Source organism: Homo sapiens, chromosome 6 (genome assembly GCF_000001405.40).
Source record: "Homo sapiens chromosome 6, GRCh38.p14 Primary Assembly".
Classification (NCBI taxonomy): Eukaryota; Metazoa; Chordata; class Mammalia; order Primates; family Hominidae; genus Homo; species Homo sapiens.
This window is the reverse complement of record NC_000006.12, coordinates 148,598,015-148,607,355: the sequence shown is the minus strand read 5'-3', so window position 1 is coordinate 148,607,355 and position 9,341 is coordinate 148,598,015. Positions and strand designations below refer to the sequence as shown.

General features: G+C 36.2%; 10 annotated features.

Annotated features, from left to right (window-relative positions):
* Positions 1–3,774: 3,774 nt before the first annotated feature.
* Positions 3,775–9,341: part of a biological region, named in NCBI's record as "meiotic recombination hotspot D", that runs on past the window's edge.
* Positions 3,875–4,096: a meiotic recombination region, noted in NCBI's record as "this region was identified as a recombination hotspot within the HapMap CEU population". NCBI's record gives the evidence for it as "EXISTENCE:nucleotide sequencing assay evidence [ECO:0000219][PMID:20981099]".
* Positions 3,918–9,341: part of a meiotic recombination region, noted in NCBI's record as "this region was identified as a recombination hotspot within the HapMap YRI population", that runs on past the window's edge. NCBI's record gives the evidence for it as "EXISTENCE:nucleotide sequencing assay evidence [ECO:0000219][PMID:20981099]".
* Positions 6,513–9,341: part of a meiotic recombination region, noted in NCBI's record as "meiotic double-strand break mapped by DNA meiotic recombinase 1 chromatin immunoprecipitation followed by single-stranded DNA enrichment and sequencing in the germ cells of some male individuals with the PRDM9 A/A, PRDM9 A/B and PRDM9 A/C genotypes", that runs on past the window's edge. NCBI's record gives the evidence for it as "EXISTENCE:chromatin immunoprecipitation-seq evidence [ECO:0000229][PMID:25395542]".
* Positions 6,668–9,341: part of a meiotic recombination region, noted in NCBI's record as "this region was identified as a recombination hotspot within the HapMap CEU population", that runs on past the window's edge. NCBI's record gives the evidence for it as "EXISTENCE:nucleotide sequencing assay evidence [ECO:0000219][PMID:20981099]".
* Positions 6,968–7,556: an enhancer, noted in NCBI's record as "OCT4-NANOG-H3K27ac hESC enhancer chr6:148920936-148921524 (GRCh37/hg19 assembly coordinates)". NCBI's record gives its function as "activates a minimal SCP1, AML or CMV promoter by ChIP-STARR-seq in naive H9 embryonic stem cells {active_cell/tissue: H9 hESC(naive)}" and the evidence as "EXISTENCE:reporter gene assay evidence [ECO:0000049][PMID:30033119]".
* Positions 6,988–7,000: a nucleotide motif, noted in NCBI's record as "nucleotide motif; similarity to the predicted 13-mer PRDM9 A binding motif (LD hotspot motif), CCNCCNTNNCCNC".
* Positions 7,069–7,363: an enhancer, noted in NCBI's record as "tiled region #590; HepG2 Activating non-DNase unmatched - State 8:EnhW". NCBI's record gives its function as "activates a minimal TATA promoter and a strong SV40 promoter by Sharpr-MPRA in HepG2 cells {active_cell/tissue: HepG2}" and the evidence as "EXISTENCE:reporter gene assay evidence [ECO:0000049][PMID:27701403]".
* Positions 7,663–8,962: a meiotic recombination region, noted in NCBI's record as "crossovers mapped in sperm cells of males of European ancestry". NCBI's record gives the evidence for it as "EXISTENCE:DNA detection assay evidence [ECO:0005519][PMID:18650392]".
* Positions 8,301–8,313: a nucleotide motif, noted in NCBI's record as "nucleotide motif; similarity, but not exact identity (6/7 nucleotides), to the predicted 13-mer PRDM9 A binding motif (LD hotspot motif), CCNCCNTNNCCNC". NCBI's record gives the evidence for it as "COORDINATES:motif similarity evidence [ECO:0000028][PMID:18650392, PMID:19165926]".

Genomic DNA, 9,341 nt, shown 5'->3' with positions numbered 1-9,341 from the left:
ATTTTGAAGGCAAGATTAGTTGAGAAAAAAACAATTTTATCACTAATTAAGAGAGGGACCAGAGAAAAGGTATTTTGGTATGGTGATAAAACTATATGGGATTTGTAATCAGAAGGCCTGGACTTTAATCTTAGCTCTGTTATTTATATCTACCTTACCTTGGGCAAGTCTTGTAACATTTATGTGTTTAATTTCATTTTTATAGAGTAGGAGTTAATAATTACTTTCCTTACAAAATTGTATTAATTGTAAGTATATAATAATGTTTCTAAATCAAAAAATTGAACAAGCATTTAATTTTTTAAAAAATTGCTGTTAAAATTTTAATGATAATGAAGAAGAAGAGGATGATGTTGGAGAAGAATAAATATATCAGATGAAGTGCATAAAGCAGAAATCATTTGCACTCTGTTAAAAACAAATCTTTCCTGGCTCTGTCTAGACTGAAAGGGAATACGGACTTCTCAGGGACATTGCTATAAAGGATACTAGTCCCAAAACAATGTGAGCATGAGAGAACAACTGCATCCCAAAGCAGTTCAAGCAAAACTATCCTCAGGGCTGGGACTCAGTGAGTCCTGGACAGTGATTTTTAACAGTTTACCCTTACTTTTATAATTAAAATCATTTTTGTTGCATTGAAAAACTTGACTAGAGAATGAGATATATGGGGGTGCATACATCTGCACTGTGATTTTCAATACAGAAAGGTGCAAATGACAAGAGGAGGCCAACTGCCATTACACTGAGGGAGAATCCAGTGCTAGGATATGGGTAGTAAATGAGGGATCCTAGTGAAGTAGATACTATACTGCCACATTTATATTATTTTATATTAAATTTGTATATTAGGTTGGTGCAAACATAATCATGGTTTTTACCATTACTTTTAATGGCAAAAATATGTGATTACATTTGCACCAACCAACTATATATATATATATATATATACACACACACACACACACATATACATGTATATATATACAAATTTATATCATTTTATAGCTAGTCTTTGACACTGTATATGTCATGATTTCTTCAGCTAATTTATTAATTTAAAAAGATTTTGAAGGAGACATCCATTTCAGCCATGATTGAATAATTAGAGCTGGATTTACCCTCCCATCATAAACTACTAGAAAATTGGCAAAATAATAAGGAAACGGCTTTGGGATATTAGGCAACAGGCAATGCAGGGATGTGATTCCTGGGAGAAGAGAGACAAATGAAGTGAACCCAGCTATCTGCTTGAGGGTGTTTCTGGATCATGAATCTTGGAGAGAGATTCATTTTACTTGAGGAGACACAGACTGAATTATGAGGAGGCTAAATTGGCTACAACATGTAGGGCAGAGTACTGGGGAGTGTGGGGAAGTTCATGGAAGAAGAGCTCATGAAAATTTCATAAGGATCAACACCATATTAAATGTAAATGGTTCAAACATTTTGATTAAAAGAGATTGTCAAATTGGATAAAAAAGAAAGACAACTATATGCTGCTTACAAGAAACTCATTTTACACATAAAAACACAAATAGGTCAGAAGTTAAAAAGATAAAACAAGATATATCGTACTAACATTTAAAAGTAAATAAGAAAAATATTGTTTCTATGTTAATACCAAACAAAATTAACTTCACAGCAAAGAATATTACCAGAAACAAACAAGTTATTTCATAATGATAGAAGTTAATTAATCAAGAGAACAAAAAAATCCTAAATGTATGTACACTTAATAATAGATCTTTAAAATATATGAAACAGAAATGAATAAACTGCAAGGAGGAATAGACAATTTACAATTATAATTGGAGAGTTCAGAACCCCTACACCTCCTTCTCAATAATTGATCAAATAAGTAGACATAAAATTAGTAGGATATAGAAGATTTAAACAACTCTGTCAACCAAATTGATCTAATTGATATTTATAGGATAGTCCACTGAACAACAGCAGAATGCTCATTTTTCTCAAATGCACACACAACATTTACTAAGACAGACCATATTCTTGGGACATAAAAGAAGTCTCAAAAAATATAAAAGGGTTCAAGTCTCACACAATGTATTTTCTGACCAAAATGGAATTAAATTATAATCCATAACAGAAAGTAATCTGGAAAAAAATCTTCAAATATTTGGAAACAAAATAACACACTTCTAAGCAATCAATGAGTCAAAGAAGAAATCAAAAGACTACAAAGTATTTTAAACCAAGTGAAGGTGAAAACACAAAATTCCCATACTTGTTTGATGCAACTAAAGCAGTAATAGAAAGTATTAAAGAGGATAAAGAAGTATTAACTGTTTTATAGTAACAAATACTATACTAATAAATTTGACGATATAGATTAAATGGGCACATTCCTTGAAATATAAATGGCTAAAGTTCCTATAAGCAGGAATAAATAACCTGAATAGGACTTCTATCTATTAAAGAAATTGTAGTTAAAAACTTTCCCACAAAGAAAAGTCCAGGCGCATATGACTTAACTGAGGAATTCTAGCAAACATGTAAGAAAAAATGAATACCAATTTTATGCAAACCCTTCCAAGAAATTGAAGAGAAGAGATTATTTCCCAATTCCTTTTATGAGGCCAGCATTACAAACATATTGCAAGGAAAAACACCCTGCACATATATGATCAATTCAGTTTTGATAAGGTGCCAAGATAATTCAGCAAAGAGAGACTTTTTAAAAAATGTTTCCAGAAAATCTGGATATTCAAGTCAAAAATAAATAAATAACCTCAACTCTTACTTCATACCATATACAAAACAGAACTTGAGTTGGGTCATAGTCCTAAGTGTAAACTGCAAAACTATATAACTTCTAAAGGAAACCTAGGAGAAAATCCTTGTCATACTGGCATAGGCAAAGGTTTCTAAAGACATAAGAAGACAAACCCACTTAAAAAATTGAGAAATTATACTATGGCAAAATTATAAACTTTTATTCTTTGAAATATACCTCAAGCAAAATATGTAAACAATCAAACTAGGAGATCTTTGCAGGACACACGTCTAAAATGACTTGTATCAAGAATCTATAAAGAATCCTTGTAACTCAGTAAAAACAAAACCAAAAACAAAAAAAATGGGCAAAAATTTTAACAGATGCTTCACTGAAGAAATACGGTTAGAAAGTAAGTGCTTAAAAAGATGCTCAACATCATTAATCATTGAGAAAATGCAGATTAAGAACACAATGAAAATTATTATGCACTTATTGGATTGGCTAAAATTTTCAAAACAATACCAAGTGTAGACAAGGATCCAGAGCAAATGAAATTTCGTATATTACCAGTGAGAATATAAAATTGGAAAGTTACCTTAGAAAACAGTTTGGCAGTATTTTAGAAAGTTCAGCATACTATTGGACTCAGCAATTCCATTCGTAGGTATTGAATTAAAAGAAATGAAAGATACATATTGACAGAAAGACATGCATGCAACTTTATAGCAGCTTTATTCATAATTTTGAAAAACAGGAGTTATTTAAATGTCAATCAATAAATGGATAGACAAATTGTGGTTCATTCATACAATGAAATATTACTCAGCAATAAAGAGAAACAAACTGCCAATACCACAGCATGGATGAATCTCAGATGCATATTGCTAAATGAGAGAAACCAATCTGGAAAAGCTATAATATGGTGTGGTTCCAATGATGTGAAACTTCTGGAAAGGGCAAATCAGATCTATAGCTGCCAGGAGCTGGAGGTGGAGGGAGGGGATTGACTACAAAGGGCCACAAGGGGAACTTTCGGGGTGATAAAAATAGTTTATATTTTTATTGTGGTAGTGATTATAGGACTATATACATTTGTCAAACTTTATTGAATGTACACCTAAGAAGAGTGAATTACACTATTGGAAATTATATCTCAATAAGCCTTACTTGAAATAAAGAATATAATGGGAGGAAAATGGTTACTGCATAGAGTGATAGGTGCAGTCTAGGGAGCAGTACAGGCTCATAAAGATTCACAGGATCTTTACCATGAGAACCATGCTTTGATCATCTTTAATCTTATATTTGAACAAGCTCAGAAGCTCCTGTGAAATCTGATTTTCATTTAAACCTAACCATAGTAACTTAATGTACACAGCAACTTCCATACCTGAAAATACCCTGAAATGTATAGTCGGCTGACACCTGTCTCCTCGTCCATTCCAGGAAGGGAAATAGTTGAAAGTCTGTGTGACAGGAAACATCTTGAAAACAAAAGCACATTCTATGTCCCTAAAACAAAACAAAACTGCAAATAGTTACCTCTATGCACTCACTTAGATTAGTTAAAATTTAGAAGACTGGCAGGACTAACTGGGGCTAATGTGAAGCAACTGACGCTTGCAGACATTGCTGGTGAGGATGCAAATGGAAACAACAATGGTTCTGCATGCTTCCATCTACATGAAATTCCTTTATAGGGAAATCTAATCAATGACAGAGAGCAGGTCAGTGATTGCCTGGGGCTGAGTGTAGAGAGGGCGTCTAACTGCAAGGGGGCACAAGGAAACTTTTGGGGTGCTGAAATGTTCTTCATTGTAGTGGTGGTTACAGGGGTGACTATATTTGTCAAAATTACTAAACTCGACACTTAAATGGCTACATTTTATTACATACAAATTATATCACAATAGTGTAGATTTATTTTAACAAGACTTTTAAAGGCATCTATCTCATGCAGTGCAGTAGACTAGATATACTTTTTAACTCATTCAATAAAAACAAAAATATAGGTTAATATTTAATGCTTACATTGTTTCAGTTATGAACTTGCTATTCACAGCTAAGATACATAGTAGGTTATTATTGTTTTTTCTTTTCCATGCATTAAAAAAAATTTTTTTTCATTTAGGTTTGTGGAAATAAAAACCCACCAATGAAAACAAAGGCTATTTATTCAGAGCTTGCAATAGCAGGGGAATCAACCACCATCACTTGTATTTTGGCAGAAACTCAAGGCAGGCAGAGGAGTGGGGAAATCTTTAGAGTGGAAAAAAGAGGTTTCAGGTGTGCTCTGGTTAGAAGCTGTTGGCATCAGGAAGTTGGAGGCAGGCTAACAGGAAGTGGGGCATCCTGTGTGATTGGTTAAAGGTGAATATTTGGCTTTCTCTGATTCATCCTAATTGGAAGCAGGAACTGCTGAGACCAGCTCGGTTGAGGAGACCCTAACCCTGTGGCGCTAGAGAAATTAAAGACACACACACACAGAAATATAGAGGAGTGGAGTGGGAAATCAGGGGTCTCACAGCCTTCAGAGCTGAGAGCCCCCAACAGAGATTTACCCACGTATTTATTAATAGCAAGCCAGTCATTAGCATTGTTTCTATAGATATTAGATTAACTAAAAGTATCCCTTATGGAAAACAAAGGGATGGGCTGAAATAAAGGGATGGGTTGGGCTAGTTATCTGCAGCAGGAGCATGTCCTTAAGGCACAGATTGCTCATACTATTGTTTGTGGTTTAAGAACGCCTTTAGTGGTTTTCTGCCCTGGGTGGGCCAGGTGTTCCTTGCCCTCATTCTGGTAAACCCACAACCATCCAGGGTGGGCATTATGGCCATCATGAACATGGCACAGTGCTGCAGAGATTTTGTTTATGGCAAGTTTTGGGGCCAGTTTATGGCCAGATTTTGGGGGTCCTGTTCCCAACAAGGAACAAAAATTAAGGAAGTTGTCAGTTATTAATCAAATCCTGGCTGTTTTTTTAATTATTATTATACTTTAAATTTTGGGATACATGTGCAGAATGTGCAGGTTTGTTACATAGGTATACACGTGCCATGGTGGTTTGCTGCACCCACCAACCTGTCATCTACATTAGGTATTTCTCCTAATGCTATCCCTCCCCTAGTCCCCCACCCCATGACAGGCCCCGGTGTGTGATGTTCTCTTCCCTGTGTCCATGTGTTCTCATGGTTCAACTCCCACTTATGAGTGAGAACATGCAGTGTTTGGTTTTCTGTTCCTGTGTTAGTTTGCTGAGAATGATGGTTTCCACTTCATCCATGTCCCTGACTGTTTTAACTGACTGTTACAGGGACTGTTTGCCTTCATGGACCACTTGCTAGAGATAACAGTCTAACTTCCTACAAATCTGACTTGTAGAAAAATGGCTGGTTTCCTGGGCTGGTTACTGTAGATAATGAATTGGTTTCTGGGGCTGGTTACTCCAAGTTGTGGGTCAGAGTTCTATCTTTGTATATGGTCTGGCCATTGTCTGTATATTCAGTCTGTTGGGTTTCTATGACCTTATCCTGAATGTAAGCCCTAAGTCATCATCAGATATCTCAATCTCTTCTCCAGTTCTATCACTTTAATCTTCATAAGGAAAATTACTGGGGCTCTTTTAGTCTGTCTCCATCTAAATGCCTGTGTCCTGGGGAGCACCCTGCCCTGTCCTCTGGGGGATGTCTTTCTCCTCTTTCCTGTATGGGATCTCTTCATTCCTACTCTCCATGCCTTCCTGTATCTTGGTTCATTCTCCTATTTTGGTGGTACATATTAACTTCTCGAGAAAAATTGCATGAGTGGTAAAACTGTGGGGAGTTTGCACTCCCAAAACTCACCTTAGCCAAGCTTTGCTTATAAATAATATGGATAGGTAGAAATTCTTTTAGAAAATGTTTTTCTTCAGAAGATTTTCCTTCAGAATTTTAGGCATTGCTCCATTGCTTTTTTTTTTTTTAACCTTCAAATGCTGCTGTCTTTTTATTTTTTTTTTGAGATGGAGTCTCGCTCTGTCACCAGGCTGGAGTGCAGTGGCGTGATCTCAGCTCACTGCAGCCTCCGCCTCCCGGATGCAAGCAATTCTCCTGCCTCAGCCTTCTGAGTAGCTGCCTCAGCCTTCCAAGTAGCTAGGACTACAGGTGTGTGTGCCAGCATACCCTGCTAATTTTTGTATTTTTAGTAGAAATGGGGTTTCACCATCTTGGCTAGGATGGTCTCGATCTCCTGACCTTGTGATTCGCCCGCCTTGGCCTCCCAAAATGCTGGGATTACAGGCGTGGGCCATCGCGTGGGCCCTGACTTTCCTTTTCTTAGAGCACCTAGTTTAGAAAACTTGCAATTGTAAATTCTTTCTCTGCCCCCTTTGAGATGTAAATCTTCTCCCAGCTCCTTGCCAGTTTTACAGCCCAGGAATGTCTTTCTCAAGGACCTGTGAACCATCCCTTTGAAATGTAATCACTGAGAAAGATGGCCCTCTCTGTGGATGGGTAGGAGCCTGGCTTTGATAAACACAGGCTAGCAAACACAGATGCCCAATCACATTGACCCACCTCTCTCCACCCTCTAGTACTTTTCCACTGGCTGATTCCAGAGTTTGAAAACTCTCCCACCGTTTGTTTTTGTGGAATTGAGTTCAATCTCTTTCCCCTATTGCAACAATCTTGAATAAAGTCTTCCTTGACTGTTTAACTCTGGCTGGTGCAATTTTTCTTTTATGATATGTTTACATTTTTTGTTTTAAAAATTATTTGGATCAGTAACTAATAAAAGCAAATATTTTTTCTGAAAAGAGATCACATTTTTGACACATCATCTAACTTAGTAAATGTTTCTTGAGCAGTTGTATTGTAATTGCATTATGCCAGGCATTGAAGACACAAAAATAAGCAATAAATTCAGAAAAAGGACAACTACTTCCCAAAACATCTCCTTACATCATTGAATTTGATTTGTTTACTTATAACTGAGACAAAGACTAGCTTTGAGACTTCAGACAAATCCAGACCCCTCACTGTACCTCTGTCCTGTTCTCAAAAAACAATATTGGACTACGTGTTTTCTAAATTTCCTGTTTGACTCCTGGATTCTGAGAAAGTTTTGAAATAACTCAACAACTGGTTTTTGGCAATAAAATTGCTAAAATAATTTAAAATTTTTTACTTTAAACAATTTTAAAAATGTTAATAGCTTATTTAAAATTTTGGTAGAATTAGATAAGAATAATACGGAATTAAACTAAGCATAGCTGAATACTCTGAGAGGTATTTACAAATCAATACTGGAGCCTTATCTGAAATCCTACCAATTTATTTTTCATTGTAGGATGTAGTTTCAAGGTCCAAAAATGTATCTCTGGAGAATATTACATTTTGGAGCCTGCTAAAAGTTTTTCTATAAATATTCCACCAAATGAAAGAAAACAAGCCATCAGCAATCACTCTGACAGATTTATCCAGCGGCTCAGAATGCTGGACTCTAGTCCCAACCCTTGACAAGTTATGAAGGCAGCAGAGTCATCATTCAAATGGATTTAAGTGCCCATTGTGTGTAAAGACCTTCCTTACCTCTCAAGGCCAACAAGCTAAGATGGATAACTGGAGTCTTTTAGCCTTAAAGGGTGTTTGGCATAGCAAAATACAAACATAGAAAAGATAGCTTCACTCCAACTCCTGGCTGAGCTTATCCCAACAGTGTTAGTGAGGCTTTGGAGAACTAGAAGTAATCTGCAGGCTTAAATTCGTTTTTCAGTCTCTTCCCACTTACTATTCGTGTGACCATGGGAAGGCTTACTTAACCCCTTTGAGTCTCATGGAGTTGTTGAAAGAACGAAATGACATAGATTATATGACATGCTTAGCACAGTGCCTGGGATATAAAATGTGTTCCAAAAGTGTTAGCTGAAATTATTAATATTAAGTAAGAGCCAATATGAGAGAGAGCAATAATATTAAAGGTGGGAGTTTAGTTCACTGTGTATTTATTGTAGGGAATCAGAATATGCCACCCCAAAATATGCCATTGGCATAAGGATTATTTTGAGCTGAAGACACTTGAAAAACAGCAGATGCAGGAAGAGCTTTCTGACCTTCCCCTTTCTATCTAAAAGTAGGACATAAAATTTCCCATGAGAAAGGTGCCCTTCCTGTACCAGGAAGAGCAGAATAACTCTTAGTAATCAGATTCTTATCAGCCCAGAGATGAAATCTACATAACAAACCTTAGGAAAACAACTTGTCTTTCCCCTTATATTTACCTTCCCACCCCTGAAAGCCTAAGCCCCTTTTCCTTGTCACTTCTCTACAACTTTATCATTCTTTGTTAACATGCTCTATAAGCTCCAAGTTCTAATCGCCCCTTTGAGAGACCAATCACCAGATTTCTCTTGAATGTATTCATGCTGCATGTGTGAATAAACTGTGTTTTTCTCTTATTCATCTGTCTTTTTTCAGTTTAATTTCCAGTATCCCAGCCATAGAAGCTAAGTGAGGAAAGGAAGAGTTTTTTTAATCTCCCCTACATATGTGTGTATGTGATAACTCTGTCTATTACTAGATGAGGGTTAGTGGGCATGGGAGTGTAATTAAGTACTCTATTT